This window comes from Homo sapiens, chromosome 1 (genome assembly GCF_000001405.40).
Source record: "Homo sapiens chromosome 1, GRCh38.p14 Primary Assembly".
Taxonomy (NCBI): domain Eukaryota; kingdom Metazoa; phylum Chordata; class Mammalia; order Primates; family Hominidae; genus Homo; species Homo sapiens.
Genome location: NC_000001.11, coordinates 155,308,860 through 155,332,735, shown reverse-complemented (window position 1 = coordinate 155,332,735; position 23,876 = coordinate 155,308,860). Strand labels below are relative to the sequence as shown.

Below are 23,876 nucleotides of genomic sequence, written 5' to 3'. Positions count from 1 at the left end.
CCTCAAATAGCTAGGATTACAGGCATGTGCCACCACGCCCGGCTAATTTTGTATTTTTCGTAGAGATGGGGTTTCTCCATGTTGGTCAGGCTCGTCTCAAACTCCCGACCTCAGGTGATCCATCCACCTTGGCCTCCCAAAGTGCTGGGATTACAGGCATGAGGCACTGCAGCCAGCCGCGTTTTTTCTAATTTTTAAACTTTGGTATCTACTGCAATTGTTCTATTCTAGATCATATATATATATATATATATATATATATATATATATATATACACATACACTTTTTTTTTTTTTTTTTTTGAGAGAGGCCCTTTGTCTCACAGGCTGGAGTGGAGTGGAGTGCTACAGTGCAATCAAAACTTACTGCAGTCTTGAACTCCTAGGCTCAAGTGATCCTCCCACCTCAGCTTCCCAAAGTAGCTGGGACTACAGGTGCATGCCACCACTCCCAGCTTTTTTTTTTTTTTAATAGACTGTCTTGCTGTACTGCCCAGGCTGGTCCCAAACTCCTGACCGCAAGCAATCCTCCCACATCAGCCTCCCAAAGTGCTGGGATTACAGACATGAGCCACCATACCTGGCCTCTCTTTTACTTGGAACTTTTTGTTGTTGTCAAGTGCCTGGGTTACTTGGAATTATATCATCACAGAGTGATAGATACTAAGTAGAAAAAATGTTGATACTTCTTTTTTCTTTTTTTTTTTTTTTGAGACAGATTTTCACCCTGTCGCCCGGGCTGGAGTGCAGTGGCGCGATCTCAGCTCACTGCAAGCTCTGCCTCCTGGGTTCACGCCTTTCTCCTGCCTCAGCCTCCCGAGTAGCTGGAACTACAGGTGCCTGCCACCATGCCCCGCTAATTTTTTTGTATTTTTAGTAGAGACGGGGTTTCACTGTGTTAGCCAGGATGGTCTCTGTCTCCTGACCTCATGATCCACCCCCCTTGGCCTCCCAAAGTGCTGGGATTACAGGTGTGAGCCACCGGGCCTGGCCAGTAGAAAAAATGGTGACATTTCTTACAACTCTTTGTTGTTTTGAAACAGGTTCTCCCTTTGTCACACAGGCTGGAATGCAGTGGCACAATCTCAGCTCACTGCAGCTTCGACCTCCTGGGCTCAAAGGATCCTCCTGCCTCAGCCCTCCAACTAGCTGGGACCACAGGCATGCGTCACCACACCTGGCTAATTTTTTGTATTGTTTGTAGAGACGGGGTTTTGCCATGTTGCCAAGGCTGGTTTCGAACTCCTGAGCTCAAGTGATCTGCTTGCCTCAGCCTCCCAAAATGCTGGGATTACATGTCTGAGCCACTGTGCCCGGTGCAAATCTTTAATCCTTCCCTTCACCTCAGATATGAAGTACAATTTCAAGGGCTAAGTCTTCTCTCCTCCCCCATATTTATGCAGGCTCCTATCCTATTAGTCTAACTAAACAGAGAAAGTCATAGACTAGAGAAGCACTTGTGAGATTCAGGAAGCAATGAGGGACTACTTCTCTATTCTTCAGGGAGCATTAAGCACTAAACCTGGGCTAGGAAGAAACATCTGCCTTATGCCTCCCATAGGAGGTCCTTTTTCCCCTCCCCCATAGCCTATGTCCAGAAACCCACAGTGAAAGACACACATTCAACTCCCATACTTTATTGGGACAAAGGAGGAAGGATGCAAACCATCACCACAGGCCCACCCACCAAGGGTGTCCAGGCTTCAGCACCTAGTACAGCATGAGTGAGTACATTATCAATACAGGCAACTTGGGAGGGATGGAGTGGGGAAGATTCCACACAGGAAGGAGACTAGAGGTCCTTCTAGGCTTGGGGGCTGAGGCATGTATTGTACTGGCACAGTCCACTTATGGATGAAGAAGGAGGTCTAGATTTCCATTTTGCAGATAGATAGGAAGGAAGACATTCCCTTATATAGACGGGAAAAAGGAAAGGGATTACCTGGAGGGCAATTCCTTTTTTATATATTTGGAAGAAGAGCAGATTTCACCTTACAGGTGGGTATAGGAGGGAAGAAGGAAAGTTTATTTTAAATATTAGCAGAAACAGACGTGGGAAGAAACGTCATTTTGCAGAGGGAAAATGCTTCTGGGATGGTGTTCACTGGCCATTCCATTCCCAGGTGACAGGAAGGAGACACATACGCAGGAAAGGGTCCCAGGGCTACAGAACAAGGGAGGTATACCCCACAGGCACCAGACCCTCCATGCCATCCCGCCCACAGCGGAGCCAGTCCTCATCCACTGTGGTGATGACACGCAGCACTTCCCCACGCCGGAAGCTCAACTGGTCAGGTCTTGCAGCAGTGTGATCACAGAGAGCCCGCACTGCCCTGAGGGGAGCCAGAGGAAGATACTGGGATGAGGTGAGGTGGGGCTGCCCAGCCGTCCCCAGGCGTCACCTCTAGAGTGCCCTTGTTGGTTTGGCTCAGTGGACATTGACTGGGCTCTGGAAGGACTTGAGAACCATTCATCAACTTGGTGATTCTATCTGGGGCCCCAGCCTTCTCCTGAGTGGCAAACCCACTCCAGCTGCTTATTTGACACTATTTGCACTTCTCAATGGTGCTTCAAATTCAACACAGGCAAATGAAATGACTCACCCTCAAAACCAGTTCCTCCTCGTGTCGCCTATAGTGGTAAACAGCACCACTTTCTCCCCACACTTGCCCCTGGTAAAAACCTGGGCATCTCACTCCATACATCCAATCCATCACCAAAACCTGTTTGGTGTTTGGATCTCCTACTACTCCATCTACTTTTTTTTTTTTTTTTTTTTTTTCTTGAGACAGAGTCAGTCTCTGTTGTCCAGGCTGGAGTGCAGTGGTGTGATCTCAACAGCCTCCACCTCCCAGGTTCAAGCAATTCTCCTGCCTCAGCCTCCCGAGTAGCTGGGACTACAAGTGCCCACCACCACCACGCCTGGCTAATTTTTGTATTTTTAGTAGAGACGGGGTTTCACCATGTTGACCAGGCTGGTCTTGAATTCCTGACTTCAGGTGATCCACCACGCCCGGCCGCCAAATGCTTTTATAAAATGTTTAGGCCAGGCGTGGTGGCTCACGCCTGTAATCCCAGCACTTTGGGAGGCTGAGGTGGGTGGATCACAAGGTCAAGAGATCGAGACCATCCTGGCCAACATGGTGAAACCCCATCTCTATTAAAAATATAAAAAATTAGCTGGGCATGGTGGCAGGCGCCTGTAGTCCCAGCTACTCAGGAGGCTGAGGCAGGAGAATCACTTGAACCCAGGAGGCGGAGGTTGCAGTGAGCCGAGATCATGCCATTGCACTCCAGCCTGGGCGACAGAGCAAGACACTGTCTCAAAAAAAAAAAAAAAAAAGTTTAGTAGCCAGGTGTAGTGGCTCCCACCTGTAATCCCAGCACTTTGGGAGGCCAAGGTAGGCAGATTCCTTGAGGCCAGGAGTTCAAGACCAGCCTGGCCAACATGGCAAAACCCCATCTCCACTAAAATTACAAAAATTAGCCAGGCATGGTGGCAGGTGCCTGTAATCCCAGCTACTCTGGAGGCTGAGGCAGGAGAATCACTTGAGCCCAGGAGGCGTGGTTGCAGTGAGCCGAAATCATGCCACTACACTCCAGCCTGGGCGAGAGTGAGACTCTGTCTCAAAAAAAAAATTATGTTTAGTCTCTATAACCATAAAAAAGGTATTGCATCATATCCTTTTTATAGAAAGAATCCTGGCCGGGTGCAGTAGCTATGCCTGTAATCCCAATACTTTGGGAGGCTGAGGTGGGTGGATCACCTGAGGTCAGGAGTTCTAGACCAGCCTGGGCAACACGGTGAAACCCCGTTTCTACTAAAAATACAAAAATTGGCTGGGCACAGTGGCTCACGCCTATAATTCCAGCACTTTGGGAGGCCAAGGCGGGCGGATCACGAGGTCAGGAGATCAAGACCATCCCGGCGAACATGGTGAAACCCCGGTCTCTACTAAAAATACAAAAATTAGCTGGGCGTGGCGGCATGTGCCTGTAATCCCAGCTACTCAGAAGGCTTAGCAGGAGAATTGCTTGAACCTGGGAGGCGGAGATTGCAGTGAGCCGAGATCATGCCACTGTACTTCAGCTTGGCGACAGAGCTAGACTCCATCTCAAAAAAAAAAAAATTCCAAAACTTAAACGGGCATGGTGGTGGGCACCTGTAGTCCCAGCTACTCAGTAGGCTGAGACAGGAGAACCCAGGAAGGGGAGGTTGCAGTGAGCCGAGATTGTGCCCCTGCACTCCAGCCTGAGCGACAGAGCAAGACTCTTGTCTCTTAAAAAAAAAAAAAAATCCAAGGCTCAAATGAGTGACACATCGATAATAAATAGAAAAGCTGCAATGCACACTAAGCACGGTCTTATTTTAAAGCCCAGGGTTTTTTACACTACCTCCCATCCATGCTGTGATAGCATACATGGTTACACACTAGTGCATTCTCCCCAATCCTCCTTACCTATGGGTTTGCACCATCCTGGGTGCTGAGGCCTCAAGCTCCTGAGGAGAAGGCATCTCGGGAGGTGCCCCCCGCTTCACAAGAGCCAACACACTCACTGTCGGGGGCAGCCAGCTAGATGGTCTCCTAAAAGAAGGGACATAGGGTCACAGCTCAACCCACTTCCAGAAAACCCAAGAACCCTGGGGTTTGGAGGGAGGGAGAGGCTAAGGGGCCTAATTGTGGTTCAAAAGAGGTCAGGGGTTAGTCACTGCTGAGGGCAGAGTGTTCATTATTGGACACAGGCACTTTTAGGCTGATGAGGGAGATGACAACAAAAGTCCACAACACCACAAATCACAAGGAACCTATGGACCCAGCAGGGTCTAGACAGGCTCAGAATGAAATGGCCACTAGAGAGTATCTCAAGCCATTAAAGAGCCACCAGTTGTTGAAGCCTGGAGCAGGGGTTGGCATTTTGTTTGTTTGTTTGGAGAGGAGACAGGGTCTCGCTCTGTCGCCCAGGCTGGAATGCAGCAGTGTGATTACAGCTCACTGCAGCCTTGACCTCCTAGGCTCAAGCAGTCCTCCCACCTCAGCCTCCTAGAGTAGCTGGGACTACCACCACGTGTGTGCCACCATGCCCAGCTAATTTTTGTATTTTTCTGTAGAGACAGGGTTTCACCATGTTGCCCAGGCTGTTTTTCATTTTTCTAAACGACCAGATAGTAAATACAGTTGACCCTTAAACAAAGCAGGTTTGAAATGCACAAGTTCACCTATATGCAGGTTTTTTTCAACCGAACAAAAAATACTGTATTCTCAGGATGTAATACCACATATACTGAGGGCTGTCTTTTCCTATACATCAACTGTAGGATTTGAGTATGTCAGATTTTAGTGTATGTGAGGGTCCTAGAACCAATCCCCCACATGTACCTGGGGATAACTATATTTTAGGACCTAGGGCCAAGAGAGAAAATTGAGATCATTATGTAGGCACTTAACATAACCATTAAAATGTAACCATTTTTAGCTCATGGCTGTAGAAAAACAGACCGCCAATCTCTGCCCTAAAGGATCATCACTAGAGAGTTTCAAATGAAGCCGCTAGGAGATCTGAGAGAGTCAGAAGGTCATAGAAAGGACAAGGTACCCCATTACCTGGACTTTAGGGCTCCATTCTCATTTTCTGCGGGGCCCCCAGGCACTCCAAATAGTCTTCCCAACCAGAGGCCCCTGCCTGGTGCCATCTCATCTGTGGGCAGGGGTCTCTCCTGTGCACCTTCTTCAGCTGCAGTCCCATGACGCCCCGGTGCCCATCGGGAAAGAGGAAAGCCCTCAGTGCCCCCAGAGGCATAGACCCGGGAGGCCTGGGTCAACTGCTCCCACCAGCTCCCTGGTGTGGGAAGGTTTGGAGAGTCAGAGGGGTCTGAAGCAGCTTCCTTGGAAGTCCCCCGAAGGCTCTGGGCCAGCCGGCCCCCAAAGTGCAGCATGGCTTGCATAGTCTGCTGCAGAGCTGGAGGTGGGCCTGGAGGGGCAGGGGCCTGAGGTGGGCCCAGGGGCAGGTGGTGGTGGTGCTCAAAGAGCAGGTCCAGGTGGAAAGTGAGCACCGACAATGGCTGCAGCAGGAGCAGCAGCTCTGTGGACAGGGAGGGACAACCACCGCGGGCCAGGGAGAAAAATCCTGTTGGCAGGTACAGGAGGGAGAGCAGGCCTGGAAAAGAGCAGGCCAACATCAGCTCCTGCCCTGGACCTAGTCCCAGAAGACCCCCCAGAGCAGCCCACCAGTCAGCACACATCTTCCCAGGCCTCACTCTGCTGGGCACTGGGGCAGAGAGGAGGAAGGATGTGGTGGGCTATAGGACTGACATCCCCGCCTGCATGGAACCTAGCCCAAATAGGAAGACACACACAGCAAGTGGTGACAAGTAACAGAGACAGTGCAAAGGCTACAGAGGAGGAGGACAGGAGAGCCATAGAAGCACATACAAAATGAGGCGTGGGGGTTGGCCTAGTCCGAGGGTAGAGGTAGGGCCTCACTGGGGAAGGACTCAAAGGATGAATGATAGTTCAGAGGAAGCAGGAGGGGCAGAAGGTAGAGGAACAGCATAAGCAGGGCCCTGGAGCAGGAAGGGCCAGGCGGGAAGACTGTTGGCAAGACCCTCCAAGGCAGGGGAAGAGGGCAGAGGCCAGACAGCCAAGGCTTTGGGTCTTTCATCCTATGGGCGATGGGCCTCCTTAGAAAGTTTTAATTAGAAGAGTAATAAGATCGGAGATCTGGATTAATGGCATTCTGGCAGCAGTGGGAACCAGCAGGAGAGAACTCTTTCCTTCCCATCCTCCCAGCCCATCAGCCCCATCCTCTACCATCTGAACCTCTGACCTGCATCTTCCTGGAGACTGGAAAACCACAGCTCCAACTGCTTGGTGCTAGGGGAGAAAAGAGGGAATGGAAGTTCAGGGAGGTGGAGGACTCCAGTCCTCTCTGGGTGGAGGATGGGAGATGAGATTGGAAGAGGGGGGGCCTTCTCTGGGGATGTGAGGCACTACTACTGTGTCCCACCCATGACGCTCCTGCAGTCCCAGGTCGTGGGAAGGGCACTGGAAAGAAGGCAACTCACTTGAGGAGGCCCAGGATAAAGGCATGGAAGCGGCTACGGCTGCTGCTCAGCGGGGCTAGACGGCTGACCTGGCTATACAGGGTTCCAAGGGAGCGGGTGCTGGAGCCTGAGAACGTGGGGTGCAGTCAGCCAAGCCCGGCCCTGCCCTGCGCACTGCCGGGTCCCACGCCCTCCTGGCTCACCTGGCTTCACCGACGCCTCCACCACGCTCCAGGGGCTGCTCCTGCGCTGCCCGGTGATGAGGTCCTTCCGGAAAGGCTTCAGCCCGTCCGCCACCAGGGCGTGGAGGGCCGGGCAGAGGGTGGTCAGCACCAGGTGCCCCACATCCGGGCTCAGCCGGCTATCACCCAACTGGGCCTGGAGGTGGCGCGATGCCGATGGCTCCAGAGATCCCTCCAGACACCTCCCAGCCACCTCCCGCCAACCATTCCCGCACCCCCCGCGGAGCTCCATTACTCTCCTCATCCCAACAGCCTCCCCCCAGCCACCTTCACCTTCTGCACCAAGTTCCGGGCGGCCCCGAAATGCGAGATGATTTTATCAACGGAGACGCTGACGGCTATCAGAAGACCTGGGAGGAGTGGGAAAGGGAAGACGCTAGGAGGCCGCGCCCCTACCCAGGCTTGCCCGAGGGGCGTGGAGAGACTGCCTTCGGACAGCCTGAGAGCAGGGCCGGGGGCGAAGGGCAGTTTATTCGGAAGCGCGGGGTCGGGAGTCAGGGTGCCCTACCTTTCTTCTGCTCCTGCAGCTGACCAGTCCCACTCTGGGCTTCTGCCATCCACAGCCGCTGGGCTCCGGGGACACCGGCGAAGGACCACGAACTACGGACTGGCGTAAGGGAAGAAGGGCGCGGTAACACTTACCAAGTGTTATTCCGAGGACTCCGGGCTCCCGCACAAGTTGTCTCCGGCGGGTCTGCAGTGCTGTGTCCCCGAAGGGTCTTGGGGAGAGGAGGCGCAGGACCGCCTGAAGCACGGGGTAGCTCGACCCGAGCCCCGGAGTGAAATCTCGCACACTTCCCAGCACTCGCTGTCCCCCAGCCCCATCCCGGTTCCCTGTGCCCTCCCTCAGGGCACAGCCCCCACCTCCAGGATCCCGGAACTCCGGGAGCGGGATGGCCGCGCTCACCTCCCGCCTGCCCTGCTAGGGCCTGTAGGGCGGGAGAGGACGGGGCGCGGGGAGGGAGGTGTAGCCCAGCGCACCGCCCCGGGGCCCAGTCCTGCCTGCGGAGCCCCGGGGAGCACGTGGGCGGCATGGACCAATGGAAAGACAGACAGGGGAAAGGGAGGAGACGGAGGGAGGCGAGACCCGAGGATTGGGAGGCTGGAAGGCGCCGGAAAGGGGAAACCCGGGTCCCGCAGCAGCCTCTTGGCGGAGGGTGCCCTCTTCATCCCGCGTGGGACTGGACTCGCGGAGAGGGCGTGGCCAGAACCTCTAGTGCCAATGAGCTCCCGGGAGCTTCACCCTCCACCCCTCCCTAGCAAGGTCGGGGGGCAGGCCCGAGCTGCACAGGCCAAGGAATTCCACAGAGGGTGTGACCCAAAGCCCCTAACAACAGACTCGCTGGGACCCCCTAGACTTGGCATGGAGGCTGGGTAAGCCCGCGTCCACTATGCCCAGGTGGGTCTGGAGGGAGAGGGGGCCGGCCCACGGAGCAGGAAAGGCAACAACTTCCCCCTCCAGCACTAGGAACGGGGCCAGACTCCCCAAGGCCGACAAACTTGCTTGGAGTCGGCTTAAACTGAAGGGCGGGACTAAGCTGGGCAACCCCGGAAAAAAAGCGAAAACGGGGCCGGGCGAGAGTGGGCGGGGCGGCCCGCCTGAGGCGTGGCCCGCGGGGCTAGCCCGGGTCCGTCTTACGTAGCCTGGGCGGAGGCGATGGGCTCCTGGTCCAGCGAGGGGCCTTCGGCGGACGAGGTTGCGGTGGCAGCGGGGGGGCGGGTACCTGGCGGGGTGGGGGAGCCGCGGCGGGGAAGGTGCTACTTCTGGGAAAGAGCGGGGACAGCAGCAGTGCCAGCTCGGGGCTGGCCAGGCAGGGCAAGGCTCCCCGAGTCGGAGGCGAATAGGCTCCCACCGGGGACAGGCGGACGGGCAGCAGCTGCTCCTCTGGGGGGCTCGGCGCCCCCAGCAGCCGCAGCCCGGCGCCGGGCCACCCGGCCAGAGGAGCCAGGAGCAGAGACCCAGCTGCGCCTGCGCCCCCACCCTCCAACAGGGGGCGCCCGTCGGCCGAGAACCGGAAAACCAGGGGCCGAGGGAGCAGGAGGGGACCGGCTGCAGGCGGGATTGGCGGGGCCAGGCGCAGAGGGAAGGAGGGCAGCGGGATGGGCAGCCAGGCAAGAAGGGGCGGGAAGAAGAGGGAGCAAACAGTTAGTCCCATAACCCAATGACCCACCCAGTTTCCCTTTCCCGGAGCGCTCCCTGGTAGAAGGGGCGGGGAGGATGGGTGACACAGAATGGAGGGAAGACAGGGGGCCGGGTTGGAAGCCTAGGAGGCGTGAGCGGCCGAAGCCCAGCCCTCCTCCCGCTTCTTGCGACCTCTTACCCTCCAGGCCGGCCTGCGCGCCCGGCTCCTTCGCGGCTGGGGCCTCCTCGCCAGCCGCTGGGCTGACAGCCCGGCCCTCCTCGGACTGCCCCTCCGCTATGGGCTGCAGTCCAGGTCGGTTCTTCTTCCTTCGGGGAGGGACAGGCGGGGGTGGGGGCCGGGGCGGGACCAAAGCCCAGCCAACTGGGGGGTCTCGAGGCGGGACTGGCGGGGCTGGGGCCCGGCTTCGGGACCGGAGTTCCTTGAAGGTGGTGACTTCCCGAGGAGGTGCCGAGGAGCCGCCCGGCGACCCCGAGGGGGGGAGCTCGGTGTCGGGCGAGAAGACTATGAGCCAGTCACTGCGATCTTTCTTCGCCTGCGGGACAAGGGGCAGCCCTGGGCCCCGCTTGCGCTTCTGGGCCAGCTCGTGGAAGGACGTGATTGTCCGGTGGGGCACCGGCTCCTCGCTGACGTCACTTCTCCATCCTCCATCAATTTTCCCTGCATCTGTTTTCGAGCCAGAATCAGTTATTCTTGTGTTGGTTTTCCAACCAGAGTCGAATTTTTCAGGTTCACTTTTCCAGCTAGAGTTAACATTCCCGTTGTTTTTCCAACCAGTGTTATTGTTTTCAGTGGTTTTCCATTCAGCTTTAGTTTTCTCTGTGTCAATTTTCCAAATTGGGTTAATCTTCCAACTGGGCTCCGTTTTCCCAGCGTCGATTTTCCCATCATCCGCCTCTAAGAGCTCAGAGGTAGGGAGATCCTGCTCCGCCCTCTCGTCCTCTTCCTCCAAGCCTGGGGAAGGGACGTCCTGGCAGGTGGTCAGGGCGTTGCAGTTCGAGTCCAGGCCAGGATCGGGTGAAGAAGAAGCTCCGGAGCAGGAATCAGGAGAGCAGCAGAAGCTGTCCGGTGAGCAGGTGCCAGGGCCTGCTGAAGCCAGTGGGGAGCCCTGCTCCAGGGGGATGATACTGGGCTGAGGGTGGGCATCCTCATCACCAGGGAGGTCCCGCAAGTAGACTGAGACAGGGGACTCATCGGGGCTAAGATCTGAGCAGGAGCTGAGTGAGGAGGAGCAGCCTGGGTCTGAGGGAGAGGCAGCCCCCTCTTCCTCCTGTGACGGGTCCTGCCGGTTTTCTAGGCCCGGACCGTGCTCCTGGCAGCACCGGCAGGGCACAGCTGGGCTGTTGGAATTGGCGTCCACCAGGGTGCCACTGCAGGGGCCCCTGCTCTCCTTGCCCCCAGTGTCTCCTGGAGGAGGGGGTGTGCTCAAAGGCCCCTCCTGTAGCTCAGGACGGCGGGACAAGTGCAGGCCCAGGGAGACGTGCTGGAGGTGGATGTGGTTGAGGTTGCAGAGTAAAGCTCTCTGAGGGGACAGCATGATGCTAGCGGCGATGGGATGGCTTCTAGAGAACCAGAAGGGTAGGGTCTCTCACATCCACCTACCTGGCAACCACAGGTGCAGACCTAGAAGACAGAGGTGGTGAAGCCCGGCCAGTGAGGACAAGAGCTGCGGGGAAGGACACCGAGGTGACTTGACGGCAGCAGCAGGCCTGAAGGCTCTGGCTGCTTTGGAAGATATTTCAATGAGATGCAAATCGCAATCGACTGACCATTAGTTTCCACTGCAGTGTTTGCAGATGGAGTCGAATGTAACCCCCCGGGAATGGAGCCGGGAGGGTCAGAGAACGCGGCTGCGCTCTGGATCTCCGAAGGGGGGCGGGGGCCTGGAAGAGGTCCGGGCCCAGAATGGACCTCCAGGTCCCTGCTGCCGCAATCTGGCCCTGCCCTCCAGCCTACCCCTTACTCCCAGAGGAAGGGACCCAGGGAGACCCACCCAGATGCCCTGAAAGGAGGTGGAGGATGGGGGTGGGGCAATACGCAGAGTTTGTCTGGTGAATGCAGGAAAGGGGTGGGGGCTGGAGAGGAAAAGGATGGAGCAGCCGTCAGCTTGTCAACTCCGCATCTGCTGGCTGCCTCGGCCGGGCTCCAGCCTGCGCCCTCGCCCCTCGGAACAGCGGTATGTCCATTCTCTCCGCATTCGTCTCCATCGTTCAGCCACCACCGCACCCTTTCTCTATTCATTTCTCCTGCTCCCTTGTCCTGCCCCGCCCCTCGTGCCCAGGTCCATCGGTCTACACCCATGGGCCGAGCCCTCCTCACCAGGGTCCTCCTGGAACCGCTCCGGCCTTGGGCTTGTCCGCGGCTCCCACGGTCCCCGCCCGGCGGGGCACAGAGCGGGAGGGGAGGGGCACTAGCACAACCTACCCTGCGCTGCGCAGCTGCACCCCTTCGCGCATGGGCGTGGCGTAGCTCAGACCCGCCCCCAGCGTTTAGCGTCTTTTGTCACCCACCTAGAGGGTTTGATATATCCTAAGCTTTTGGCCCCTGGGTCCTGGTTCCGTGCAGCGAGTCCTCCCAGCACCCCACCCTGCACATTCTGGAAAGAGCCAGACTCTGGCTGGGCCGAGCAAGAACAGAACCACAAGAAGGTTACACGATTATTTATTGAGAGCCTCCTCTCCCCGCCCTTGCAATCTCTAGGTCACTTTCTCCGCTTGTAGATTTTGCGCGCAAGCCCCAGAAAGACGGCTGGGGGCAGGGGTGCTGCGTACTGTTCAATGAGAGCCATAATGTGGCTGTAACTGTCTTCCTCATATTGCAAGAACACTGCTGGCAGATCCAGCTCCTCATATAGCGCCTTCACCCGGGCCACTTTCTCAGCCTCCTTCTGCCCGTAATTTTCCTGGAAGAGGTTGAAAGACAGGAAAACGGGCTTGGCCTTCCCCAGAGCCTCCAGGACCCCTCCACTCCCCTCATTCACATATTCCAGAACATCTCCAAAGCCACCCACTCCTTTCCTCCCTCCAATTTTCAAGTGTCTCTACGTAGCTAAAATCCCAAGCTTCCCTTCCCTATCCCAAATATTGCCTCATACCAGGCATCCTCTACTCCAGGGTTTCTCCACCTTGGCACTATTGAAATTTGGGACCAGATAATCCTGTCTGGGGGAGCTGTTCTGTGTACTACATGTTTGGCAACATCTTTGGCTCCTGCCAACTAGATGTCTGTACCACATGCACACACACAGAGTTGTAATGACAATGGCAAAAAATGTCTGCTGACATTGCCAAATGTCCCCTCGGGAGGAAAACTGCCTCTAGTTGAGAACCACTGCTCTATCCCTTTCCACCAACTCAGGGACCCACCACCCTCTCTCAGGCACCTTCAGGATCTGGTACTGTTCTGGAGTGGCCCGTTGCAGACACTGAACCACCAGCCAGCTGCATTTGTTGTCCTGGATGTCAGTGCCAATTTTGCCGGTCACACTGGGGTCCCCAAAGAGGTCAAGGTAATCATCCTGGGCAGGGAGGGGGAGGGCAGCAAAAGAGGAAGGATGAGGTTCCTGGGCAGAGGAGGAGTGAAGCTGGTGCCTGTTCTCTGCTACTGCCTCCTGCCTTCTTACCTGAATCTGAAAGAACTCCCCCATCTCCAGCAGGATCTTCTTGGCATTGGCGTGCTCCTTCTCGCCATCAATTCCTGCCTGCAGGGAAAGGGGGGTTAATAAGCCAAACCCCAGGGGTGCCGGCATCTTCCTGGCTGCTTCCTCCCATGGGGTCTTGCCCTACTGCAGCCCCAAATCTTTCCTCTCTCTTCAGACATCTTGGCTTCCCTGACCTAGACAGTCCTGACTGATGGTCCAACCTCAATCCCACTTATTTTTGGCTAGGCCTTCCTGGGAGTCATAAAAGAGATGAATCCATTCTAGAGGTGCACAGCCTGTCTCTTCCCTCACAAATGTCAGTCCCCAAGTCATTCTGATCCACCTTCCTAATATTTTTGCCACCTCCAACTTCTTTCAAGATGAAAAGGAAATGTAGAGAAGCAAGGTCAGGGTAGACACTTAATCCCACTGACTGTCTTTAATCCACTCTTCTCCCTCTCAACCTGGATGATCTCCACACTCCTATCCATACTCAGATACAGGATATATTGTTCCCCTATTATGTGCTAAGCACTTTCATATCCCTTGCCTTGCTTAATCTTTACAGTCCTGTGAAGTAGGAATTTTATCCCCAGCTGAGGAAAGAGACTGAGCGAGACCGACTTGCTCAAGGTCACACAGTTTTTCACCAGGGGTAGCAGTGTTCACGTTTTCTGCTCTATGCCTTGCTGTCCAAAAGCCCCCATCAGCAGAGCAGAGAGGGGTGAGGAGGCTCACTCACCATGTACATGGCTGCAGCTATAGGAAGGTAGAAGGAGTAGAAAGCTGTCTTGTACTTGACAATAGATTTGTACCTGAGTAAGGGGAGAAGAGAAACTCCTCAGGAGGGCAATGCACATCCTGAGCCCTCCCTCGCTGTCCAGACATGGTTCGCGCTGTCCCTCACCTCCCCTCACCTCTTTTCAGTGAATCTGACAAGATCCACATTGCCCTGGGGGGCTGTGAGGAGGTCCAGGGTCTGCCCAATCTCAGTCTGATAGGAACTCTAAGCAAGACAAAGACGGTCCATGAGCCAGGCTTTCTCCAGATATGCGAAACCCTGGTATCCCAAGCCCAACATCCCATACCAGCTGACAACTGGGCAGAATCAGAAAGGCAACAGAAGGGGAGAAAGCCCCAAAACTTAAGGCCCATATTCATACACACAGTCCTTTATCACCCTTTCTTCCAATTACACAGGACAGAGAAGCCCTTTCTTGCCACTACCACAACCCCACTTCCCAACACCCTTCCTCGCTTTCTTTCCCTTCCAGGCACGCTGCAATCCTGTACCCTGAAACCAGCTAGATGAGCATGTCCTATAGAGGCCAAGGCTACCATGGGCACCCTCTGGGCATCGGGCCCTGTCTGCAATACACCTGCAGGAAGAGCTCGATCAGGTTCAGGTAATAGGGCTGCTCCCGGCAATAGAGCTTCAGCAGGCGGTAGATACATGCTTCCAGGAGGTTAGCATCATTGATGGCATCCAAACCCACGCCCGGCTGTCATGACAGACAGAAAAACAAGCAATCAATCTCTAGTCTCGGTTCATACTAAGAGCCATCACCCCAACACCTCAACCAGGCCATATATAACCACCTCCCTGTGGCCTGTCCCCATACCCACTGCTATTTTCCTGCCCACATTACCTTCTGATACCAGCAGATCTGTCCCCGGCGGGTAAGGGATGAATCCATGATGTCATCTGCCACCAGGAAGAAAGCTTGCAGCTAGAAAGAGTGGAATAAGACCTGCAGGGCTCCTCATTACTGTTCCTTCTATCAGCAACAGAGCTGCTACTTTATATCTGTATATAGTTTTGCTTTTTTTTGGTAGGGGACAGAGTCTCACTATTATCCAGTGCAGTGGTGCAGTCACAGCTCACTGTAGCCTCTAACTCCCAGGCTCAAGTGATCCTCCCACTTCAGCTTCCTGAGTTCCTGAGACCATAGGCACATACCCCATGCCTGGCTATTTTTTTTTTTTAATTTATTTTTTGTAGAGACAGGGTCCCACTATGTTGCTCAGGCTGGTTTTGAACCCCTGGGTTCAAATGATCCTCCTGCCTCAGCCTCCCAAATTACTGGGATTACAGGCATGAGGCATCACAGCCGGCCAGAGCTGCTGCCTTTGACAGTCCCTATGAGCTGGGAAAGTCAGGATGGGGAGACAGAAGACTTCTGTGCTATGGAGACTTGGAAAGTGACATAACATGTTTGGCTCAGACTCCCCGCCTATAAAATGGAACTAAAACACTCTTGTTTTAGGTTAAGAAACTAGAACAGATCTTTGACATCTCTAATGAGCCCTAGATTATTCCTGGTGTCAGGGAGATTAGGAAACACCTTCATATACCGTACTCTATTCTTGCCAAAAACCTCAATGAATGCTTAAAGTAAGATCTATTCATGAAACTGACTTCACATTACTTCCTAAATAAAAGAAGGCTATTCCCACATTGCCCCCAGCACTGTGTTTGAACACCCTGGTGACTAGGAACACAGCCTTACCTAAAGCAGCTCCTTAGCAGTGCAGGTCTAATAAGGTGGAACTGAAATCTGACTTTGACCTATGAGTCTCAGACATCTTTAAACATCTTTAAACATTAACTAAGGGCTTACTCTTCTGAGTGCCCATCTGAAGGTACCTGAACGTGTCGGGTTTCCCACTAGACCATGATCTCCTTGGAAGCAGGGACAGTAACTTCCCCCTCTTAGCATTTGCAGAGCCTAGCACAGCATTAGGCCTGGAGTGAGAGTTTCCTAAACACTTGTCTGACAAAGAAATTAATAAAACACTCTAACATTCCCTGTGATACTTCTTGCAGTCAGTCAAACTATGTTTTGGTTCCTTAAATAGCTTTTCTTTTTTTTTTTTTTTGAGATAGAGTCTCACTCTATCACCCAAGCTGGAGTGCAGTGGCGCCATGTGGGTTCACTGTAACCTCCGCCTCCCAAATTCAAGCGATTCTCCTGCCTCAGCCTCCCAAGTAGCTGGGACTACAGGCACCTGCCACCACCAACTGCTAGGCCAGCTAATTTTTGTATTTTCATTCAGTAGAGACTGGGTTTTGCCATGTTGGCCAGGCTGGTCTTGAACTCCTGACCTCAAGTGATCCGCCTGCCTCGGCCTCCCAAAGTGCTGGGATTACAGGCGTGAGCCATCGTGTCTGACCATTAAATAGCTTTTCAAGACATGGTTTGGGTTGCTTTTTTAAAGAGACAAGGGTCTTGTCATGTTGCCCAAGTTGGACTTGAACTCCTGGGCTCAAGTGATCCTCCTGTCTCAACTCTTGAGAATCTAGGGATATAGGCACACACCAGCGCACCCAGCTCAAGACATGGTTTTTATTTTCATAACTTATTTCCTTTTTTTGTTTTTCCACTTCTAGATACATACCCAGGTTTTTGTTTTTGAGATGGAGTTTCACTCTCATTGTCCAGGCTGGAGTGCAATGGCGCAATCTCGGCTCACTGCAACCTCCGCCTCCCGGGTTCACGCGATTCTCCTGCCTCAGCCTCCCAAGTAGCTGGGATTACAGGCACGTGCCATCACACCCGGCTAATTTTTGTGTTTTTAGTAGAGACAAGGTTTCACCATGTTGGTCAGGCTGGTCTCGAACTCCTGACCTCACGTGATCCATCCACCTTGGCCTCCCAAAGTGCTGGGATTTTAAGTGTGAGCCAATGCACCCGGCCCTATACCCAGGTTTTAATTTTTATTATTATTTTCTTTTGAGACAGGATCTCACTCTGTCACCCAGGCTTGAGCAGAAGACATGGTTTGTGTGTTTTTTTTTTTTTGAGATGGAGTTTCGCTCTTGTTGCCCAGGCTGGAGTGCAATAGCGCGATCTTGGCTCACTGCAACCTCCGCCTCCCGGGTTCAAGCGATTTTCCTGCCTCAGCCTCCTGAGTAGCTGGGATTATAGGCATGTGCCTCCACGCCTGGCTAATTTTTTTTTTGTTTTTTGTTTTTTGTTTTTTTTTGAGACAGAGTCTCGCTCTTGTTGCCCAGGCTGGAGTGCAGTGGCACAATCTCAGCTCACTGCAAGCTCCGCCTCCCAGGTTCACGCCATTCTCCTACCTCAGCCTCCCAAATAGCTGGGACTACAGGCGCCTGCCACCATGCCCGGCTAATATTTTTTTTGTATTCTTAGTAGAGACGGGGTTTCACCATGTTAGCCAGGATGGTCTCGATCTCCTGACTTCATGATCCGCCCGCCTCAGCCTCCCAAAGTGCTGGGATTACAGGCATGAGCCACTGCGCCCAGCCTAATTTTGTATTTTCAGTAGAGATGGGGTTTCCCCATGTTGGTCAGGCTGGTCTCGAACTCCTGACCTCAGGTGATCCACCTGCCTCAGCCTCCCAAAGTGCTGGGATTACAGGCATGAGCCACTACACTTGGCCTAGAAGACATGGTTTTTAAGACTTTATCCCATCCTAATCCTGTGTGCTGTAGTGGATCCACATTGCAAAGGAAGCATGCAACACCGCCTGCCAGAGCCCAGCATGGGCCGTGGGGAAAGGACCGTTGCAATCACTGCTGTTATAGGCAGGGTCCTCAGGGAAGGAGGCATCCATCTGCATCTTTACCTCTGACCTAAACTCAGAAGAGTAGTGTGGAGGTCCTGGGCTTTCCACATCAAAGGCACATGTTTAATTGACTCTGTGTTTATTTGGAGTAGCATGGTTTCCCTGAAGCCACCCATTCACTGCCTCTCCCAAGGGTGACTGCAAGGACAATCTTGTTTCAGCCACCACCACTCAACCATGATGGTCTCCAAGATAATTAATTCCATGGCCTCCCCAAATTTCCTCTGCCTCCTAGCACTGATTCTTAACCCCACCAGCACTTTCTATTTATTAGGGAAATTAAAAAAAAAAAAAAAACCCAGGCCAGGCACAGTGGCTCACACCTGTTATCCCAGTACTCTGGGAGGCCGAGGCAGGCAGATCACTTGAGCCCGGGAGTTCAAGACCAGCCTGGGCAACATAGTGACACTCCATCTCTACCAAAAAACTATTTAAAAAGCCGGGCGTGGTGGTAGGCACCTGTAGTCTCAGCTACTTGGGAGGCTGAGGTGGAAGGATCGCTTGAGCCCAGGAGGTCGAGGCTACAGTACACCATGATTGCACCACTACACTCAAGCCTGGGCAACAGAATGAGGCTTTGTCTCTAAAAAAAAATTTAGACCAGGCGTGGTGGCTCACGCCTGTAATCCCAACACTTTAGGAGGCCGAGATGGGCAGATCACTCGATGCCACAAGTTCAAGACCAGCCTCAGCAACATGGTGAAACCTAGTCTCTAAAAAAAAAAAGCCAAGTAGAGGCTCGCTCCTGTAGTCTCAGCTACTTGGGAGGCTGAGGCGGTGGAAGGGTGGCTTCCGCTCCAGAGGCAGAGATTGCAGTGAGCCAAGATCATGCCACTGCACTCCAGCCTGGGTAACAGAGTAAGACCCTGTATCAAAAAAAAAAAAAAATTAAAAATTTTTAAAAACTTACAGGTGAAACTAGGGTGCTGCTAGGGTTAAGAACTGATTCTAGGCCAGGTGCAGTGGCTCACACCTGTAACGCCTGTAATCCCAGCGCTTTAGGAGGGCGAGGCAGATGGATCACAAGGTCAGGAGTTCCAGACCAGCCTGACCAATATGGTGAAACCCCGTCTCTACTAAAAATACAAAAATTAGCCAGGGATGGTGGCATGTGCCTATAATCCCAGCTACTTAGGAGACTGAGGCAGGAGAATTGCTTGAACCTGGGAGGCAGAGGTTGCAGTGAGCCAAGATGGTGCCACTGCACTCCAGCCTGGGCAACAGAGAGAGACTCCATCTCAAAAAAAAAATGAACTGATTCTACCAGTTAACCACTGGCCCCTCAAGGTCTTGCTTCCCTTGGCCCCCATAGCTTTACTCCTCTGCTCTGCCCTCATCCTCCTTCCCTTCCTTCCTTGCCTGTCATCTCCATATTTTGAACCCCTCAGCCCCTCAGCATCCCTGTCATCCAGGGCCCTCTCCCTGGATGCCATGGGCCTATTACCTCCTTGGAAGCAAATCTCTATTCTCCAGACCCATCTCCCCGACAAGTTCCAGACTGGAATTTCCACCGCCCACAGGACAGGCAGATCCACCTGCTCCACCCATACCAAGAACGTACCCGGGCTGACTGTGCTCAGCACGTCTTCCCTTGAGCCAGCTGCTCCTCTCAGGCCAGGCACTCAGCATCATCGTCACTCACCAAGTTCTGAATGCTCTTCCCTTTTGGGCTCACTGCCACCCTCCTCGGGCATGGCACCCCTCCCAGAACCCAGTCCCCCTGCCACTAATGAAAGCTTTAGGCCATGCCAGCAAACTAGACACCTTCAAGACCAAGACGAACTGGTATAGAAGACAAGGGGATGTGGGGATTGGAGCAAACTAGAGAAAGCACACAGGAGAACACATGCCGTCTTGCAGAAGTTGCATCCACTCAGCTTCAGCCAATTGTTGCTATGCGGGAACATGGACCCAAATCTTACAATTTCCCAAGCCATGCTAGAAATCTAGGTTTTAGTGTGAAATCTCTTTGTTAAATTTAGGAGACTTAATTGTAAAACATTTTCAAAATACTGTCAGTGAGCTGCCAGTTTTCAATTTCTGCTTCTGAATAGCCTTTGGAAGACCTCTGTCACCTTTTTTTTTTTTTTTTTTTTTGAGATGGAGTTTCGCTGTTGTTGCCCAGGCTGGAGTGCAATGGTGCAATCTCAGCTCATCGCAACCTCTGCCTCCCAGGTTCAAGCGATTCTCCTGCCTCAGCCTCCCGAGTAGCTGGGATTACAGGCATGTGCCACCACATCCAGCTAACTTTGTATTTTGAGTAGAGATGGGGTTTCTCCATGTTGGTCAGGCTGGTCTCGAACTCCAGAACTCAGATGATCCTCCCCCTTGGCCTCCCAAAGTGCTGGGATTGCAGGTGTCAGCCACCATGCCCGGCCTCCTCTGTCACTTTTATAGCCATCCTCTGCTCAGAGGAAAGAGCTGACACCTCTCTGCCCAGTCTCGAGGCCCCAGTCCACACTGTCTACAACTATCTACAGCCATCTTCATACCTAATGCCAAAAGAGGCTCCCCACATTAGTTAACCCTTGGAGTGATTCACTCTAAATTTGGCCGTAGCACACTAGAGACAAAGAAACACAAACACAACCCAGAAATAAGTTTCAGGCCCATCCCTCCCCTTCCCACCCAAGTCACCACCATTGCAGGAAACTTCTTCTCCCTTGCCCTACCCCTCTCACCAGTTCCACACACCAGCCCACAGTCCAGGCCCGCTGGAGACTATCAGCATCCTGTTTCCTTGGCTCCACCAGCTCCCGGAATGCTACTACCACCGTCAAACCCCGGTTATACTTGCCTCCAATGGCATTGTACTCCAGGACCTGGAGGGCAAGGAAAGAGGTACAGGGTATCAGGGTCCATACAGCAGCTACTGTGAGTTTTCTCCTTGCTCTCTCCCATTTCCAACCACCACCTAACTTTATCCTCCCCAACCCCAACTCCTCTTCAAGGAGCCTCTGGAATTGCTACTGTCTTTACTCCTTCCCCAAATTTCTGGAGCAAAGCTAGAAGAGGTCCCAGTACCCAGGCACATTCTTTCTGCATGGTCTACCCTAGTAAATTTATTTTTTGTTTTTATTTATTTATTTATTTATTTATTTTTTTGAGATGAATTCTCTCTCTGTTACCCAGGCTGGAGTGCAGTGGCACGATCTTGGCTCACTGCAACCTCTGTCTCCGGGTTCATGAAATTCTCCTGGCTCAGCCTCTCGAGTAGCTGGGATTACAGGTGCCCACCACCATGCCCATCTAATTTTTGTATTTTTAGTAGAGACAGAGTTTCACCATGTTGGCTAGGCTGGTTTCGAACTACTGACCTCAAGTCATCCACCCGCCTTGGCCTCCCAATAAATTTAAAACCTCCATAGTGCAGATTAAATGCTGCTCCCAAACCCAGAACAGGGCTTGAACCCACGGAAAACTCAGTACATGCTATAGGGATGACTGGCTTGTTCAGGTCCCTCCCCAGTTTCCTTCCCCATCCCCACCTCTCCTAGACTTCCCCTTCACAACCCATCCCTACTTTTCCAGCCACCTCTGCCTACCAGGGTTCAACCCTCCTGCAAATGAAAAGCCTCCTTCATTATATTAAAACAAAGCCTCTCCAAAGTCAGCCAGAAGACAGCTTACAGGGGACCCACGCTGTGGGATCCATCTCCCACTCCTCCAGTAGTGTCTCCTCTTGCATCTCACTTTGCCTTCTGCTGCCTGGCTATCAATCAGACCTAACTAACAGGGAAGACTTCATCTCGCTATGTCACTCAGGCTGGAGTGCAGTGGCACAATCACGGCTCACTGCAACCTCCGCCTCCCAGGTTCAAGTGATTCTCCTGCCTCAGCCTCCTGAGTAGCTGGGACTACATGTGGGCGCCACCACGCCCAGCTAATTTTTGTATTTTTAGTAGAGACGGGGGTTTCACCATGTTGACCAGGCTGGTCTCGAACTCCTGACCTCATGATCCCCCCCACCTCAGCCTCCCAAAGTCCTGGGATTACAGGCGTGAGCCACCATGCCGGGCCAAGACTCTTTTAATCCCCATTCCAGTATAGGCAAAGCCCCCCTTTCCCTTCATTCCCCTGAGATATATGAGATAGACAGCATTTATAAAAAGAATTTTAATAGATACTCCAGAATCAACAGGAAAAAAATTGGCAAGTATCACAGCAATAGTTCATGTTCTAGAATAGGGGTTTCTAATGATACAATAACTTCACTCAGGCCCCAGGGAGATAGGACAATATCAGACTGCCTTCTTCCCCGGTCTCTGCCAACCTAACAGCTTCTGATTTCAGGACACAAAATCTAAGACTTGCCAGGTTCAAGGCCTCCACCCCCAAAGCAAAGCAGTTTGGATGACCCACCTTCCATCAGAGCCAAAAGTCCGGTTGATGGACTGAGTAAGTATACTTGCCCAGGCCCCAACCTCTCCAGAGCAGACTCGAGTCCCTCAGGTAAAAGCTTTCTCGGCCAGGCGCGGTGGCTCACACCTGTAATCCCAGCACTTTGGGAGGCCGAGGTGGGTGGATCACCTGAGGTCAGGAGTTCGAGACCAGCCTGGTCAACACAGTGAAACCCCGTCTCTATTAAAAATACAAAAGTTTGCTGGATGTGGTGGCACGCACCTGTAATCCCAGCTACTCAGAAGGCTGAGGCAGGAGAATCACTTGAACCCAGGAGGTGGAGGTTGCAGCAAGCCGAGATCACACCATCGCACTCCAGCCCAGGTGACAGAGCAAGGCTCTGTCTCAAAAAAAAAAAAAAAGCTTTCTCTCACATCTGTCAAAAGTCCCCCATAAGCCACAGGTGAATGCCACACAGGTACAGAGCAACTGAACCAAAGCCTTACTCCCCCAAGTCATGAATCCCTCACCTCCTTGAGCCGGGCAATAGCATCTCCTATCTCTGGGTGCCCCATCTCATCCTCAGTCAGCACCCTAACGATCTGGGAGAAGTGCTGAACGAAATCCTGCTTTTCTTGGGCATAAACATCTGAATTCTGGTCTCCGTTCATTCTGAGGGAGGAGCAAAGGGCTCTAAGTAGAAGAAAAACAAGTCAGAAACCTGATCAGCTGCTCCCCTCCCCAAGGCCCCTCACCCCAACCACACTCACCGAGGTTCCTCTGTCCACGCTTGGCACCAGCAGCGGGCACTGTGCCAGGCCAGGACTGGGTACCCGTGCACCAGGGAGGGCCGCCGTAGGGAACCCAGCCACCTCTCCCGGGGTGCCCAGTAGGGGGCTGGCAGCAGGAAGACCCCCACAGATCTCAACCAGCGGGACAGGGGCATCCTGGGAGTGGCATAGGGAGGGGGCACTAAGCACTCCCTGCAGGGGCAAGCACCAAAGGCAGAGGCATGGTGGCAGCTCCCCAGATAACTCCCACCCCAGCCTTAGCCCAGAGTGCCCCTCCCTCTTGTGGAATGTGCTTGGGGACAATTACAGGAAGGATACGCAGGGAACAAAAAAGTATGGCTGGGTGACTGAGACCCAACTAATCACCACTTACAATAAACAGGCTAGAACTCAGTGCCTTCAAGATGGCGTGCACAAGGCTGGGTAAGGAGGCGGTACAGAGTAAAGTACCCCAGGATTAGGGGCTGAAAGGACCCTTAAGTCATCCTATTTTACACAAGCCAAACTGAGGCTCTAGGAGGTAGGAAGATAGTAGAGGCAGAGCCAAATCTAGAACCCAGGTCTCCCCTGGGCAGTGGAGAGGGGTGCCCAGGGTCTGAGTTACGCCCCAAGGAGGAAAGAAGCATTGGAGCGAGAACCCATGGGTGCTGCATCCATATGGTCCGGGGTGCTTGAACCGCGCGTCCCAAGCCCCACAGGAATCGCTAGGACTGAGCAGATAGGCTCGGAGCAACTCTGGACGGGAGAGAAGGGCTCGCAGCAAAGGAGTAAACCGGGGTCCGGGCATATTGGGGATTCCAGGAAAGCACAAGGGCAGAGTTGGGAAGTCTCCACACCCCTAGAAGGCCAGCCAGTCTAGCCCACCGACCTTCAAAACGGACACAACAGGCTGGCCTTCCGATGCCTCACAGTATCGTTACAGAAGTAAGGCCCGGTCTCGGCCCCCTTCCTCCAAGGCCCAGCACACATCCTCTCTCACCTGTTCCCAGATACGGATTCCTGCTCGGTCCCGCTTGTTGGCGGGTACTCCTAAAAGCAGAATCCGCTCCGCGATCGGCTCTGTGGGTCGAGTAGTTCCCGCTCTC

At 53.5% G+C, this 23,876-nt stretch overlaps 2 protein-coding genes and 1 long non-coding RNA gene across 26 annotated transcripts, besides 10 other annotated features; 1 reads left to right on the top strand and 2 right to left on the bottom strand.

Annotated features, from left to right (window-relative positions):
* Window positions 1-1,617: 1,617 nt before the first annotated feature.
* On the bottom strand, window positions 1,618-11,842 carry RUSC1 (RUN and SH3 domain containing 1). Of its 16 annotated transcripts, none has more exons than XM_006711254.3 (11): window positions 11,745-11,842; window positions 9,606-11,048; window positions 8,924-9,334; window positions 7,793-7,891; window positions 7,558-7,634; window positions 7,246-7,420; window positions 7,064-7,169; window positions 6,826-6,872; window positions 5,604-6,156; window positions 4,461-4,586; window positions 1,618-2,333 (listed from the first exon to the last, which is right to left on the bottom strand). In XM_006711254.3, the coding sequence occupies exons 2-11, from the start codon at window positions 10,960-10,962 to the stop codon at window positions 2,165-2,167; spliced, it is 3,120 nt and encodes a 1,039-aa protein (XP_006711317.1). In that variant the 5' UTR covers window positions 10,963-11,048; window positions 11,745-11,842; the 3' UTR covers window positions 1,618-2,164.
* Window positions 6,027-6,584: an enhancer, noted in NCBI's record as "H3K4me1 hESC enhancer chr1:155295943-155296500 (GRCh37/hg19 assembly coordinates)". NCBI's record gives its function as "activates a minimal SCP1, AML or CMV promoter by ChIP-STARR-seq in primed H9 embryonic stem cells {active_cell/tissue: H9 hESC(primed)}" and the evidence as "EXISTENCE:reporter gene assay evidence [ECO:0000049][PMID:30033119]".
* Window positions 7,771-7,980: an enhancer, noted in NCBI's record as "active region_1815". NCBI's record gives its function as "activates an Ori minimal core promoter by ATAC-STARR-seq in GM12878 lymphoblastoid cells {active_cell/tissue: GM12878}" and the evidence as "EXISTENCE:reporter gene assay evidence [ECO:0000049][PMID:35858748]".
* Window positions 7,991-8,040: a silencer, noted in NCBI's record as "silent region_1405". NCBI's record gives its function as "represses an Ori minimal core promoter by ATAC-STARR-seq in GM12878 lymphoblastoid cells {active_cell/tissue: GM12878}" and the evidence as "EXISTENCE:reporter gene assay evidence [ECO:0000049][PMID:35858748]".
* Window positions 8,061-8,430: a silencer, noted in NCBI's record as "silent region_1404". NCBI's record gives its function as "represses an Ori minimal core promoter by ATAC-STARR-seq in GM12878 lymphoblastoid cells {active_cell/tissue: GM12878}" and the evidence as "EXISTENCE:reporter gene assay evidence [ECO:0000049][PMID:35858748]".
* Window positions 8,560-15,882, top strand: RUSC1-AS1 (RUSC1 antisense RNA 1). 3 transcript variants are annotated; one of them, NR_145424.1, is made up of 6 exons: window positions 8,560-8,658; window positions 10,299-10,493; window positions 11,041-11,111; window positions 12,804-12,933; window positions 14,340-14,471; window positions 14,731-15,882. It is a non-coding gene; the product is annotated as an RUSC1 antisense RNA 1 (long non-coding RNA). The 3 variants fall into 3 exon arrangements; NR_145425.1 differs by lacking the exons at window positions 8,560-8,658; window positions 10,299-10,493; window positions 11,041-11,111 and adding an exon at window positions 8,891-8,980; NR_145426.1 differs by lacking the exons at window positions 10,299-10,493; window positions 12,804-12,933; window positions 14,340-14,471; window positions 14,731-15,882 and having other exon boundaries at window positions 11,041-12,577.
* Window positions 8,771-8,970: a silencer, noted in NCBI's record as "silent region_1403". NCBI's record gives its function as "represses an Ori minimal core promoter by ATAC-STARR-seq in GM12878 lymphoblastoid cells {active_cell/tissue: GM12878}" and the evidence as "EXISTENCE:reporter gene assay evidence [ECO:0000049][PMID:35858748]".
* Window positions 9,011-9,240: a silencer, noted in NCBI's record as "silent region_1402". NCBI's record gives its function as "represses an Ori minimal core promoter by ATAC-STARR-seq in GM12878 lymphoblastoid cells {active_cell/tissue: GM12878}" and the evidence as "EXISTENCE:reporter gene assay evidence [ECO:0000049][PMID:35858748]".
* Window positions 9,531-9,770: a silencer, noted in NCBI's record as "silent region_1401". NCBI's record gives its function as "represses an Ori minimal core promoter by ATAC-STARR-seq in GM12878 lymphoblastoid cells {active_cell/tissue: GM12878}" and the evidence as "EXISTENCE:reporter gene assay evidence [ECO:0000049][PMID:35858748]".
* Window positions 10,152-11,135: an enhancer, noted in NCBI's record as "H3K4me1 hESC enhancer chr1:155291392-155292375 (GRCh37/hg19 assembly coordinates)". NCBI's record gives its function as "activates a minimal SCP1, AML or CMV promoter by ChIP-STARR-seq in naive H9 embryonic stem cells {active_cell/tissue: H9 hESC(naive)}" and the evidence as "EXISTENCE:reporter gene assay evidence [ECO:0000049][PMID:30033119]".
* Window positions 11,751-11,900: a silencer, noted in NCBI's record as "silent region_1400". NCBI's record gives its function as "represses an Ori minimal core promoter by ATAC-STARR-seq in GM12878 lymphoblastoid cells {active_cell/tissue: GM12878}" and the evidence as "EXISTENCE:reporter gene assay evidence [ECO:0000049][PMID:35858748]".
* On the bottom strand, window positions 12,071-23,870 carry FDPS (farnesyl diphosphate synthase). 7 transcript variants are annotated; one of them, NM_001135821.2, is made up of 11 exons: window positions 23,660-23,870; window positions 22,771-22,947; window positions 22,531-22,693; window positions 20,341-20,481; window positions 14,715-14,795; window positions 14,445-14,567; window positions 13,983-14,071; window positions 13,808-13,880; window positions 13,048-13,125; window positions 12,808-12,942; window positions 12,071-12,327 (listed from the first exon to the last, which is right to left on the bottom strand). In NM_001135821.2, exons 2-11 carry the CDS (start codon window positions 22,944-22,946, stop codon window positions 12,127-12,129), a joined length of 1,260 nt encoding a protein of 419 aa, NP_001129293.1. In that variant the 5' UTR covers window position 22,947; window positions 23,660-23,870; the 3' UTR covers window positions 12,071-12,126. The 7 variants fall into 7 exon arrangements, with proteins under 7 accessions (NP_001129293.1, NP_001995.1, NP_001365354.1 ...); NM_002004.4 differs by having other exon boundaries at window positions 23,771-23,870; NM_001378425.1 differs by lacking the exon at window positions 22,771-22,947.
* Window positions 23,511-23,680: an enhancer, noted in NCBI's record as "active region_1814". NCBI's record gives its function as "activates an Ori minimal core promoter by ATAC-STARR-seq in GM12878 lymphoblastoid cells {active_cell/tissue: GM12878}" and the evidence as "EXISTENCE:reporter gene assay evidence [ECO:0000049][PMID:35858748]".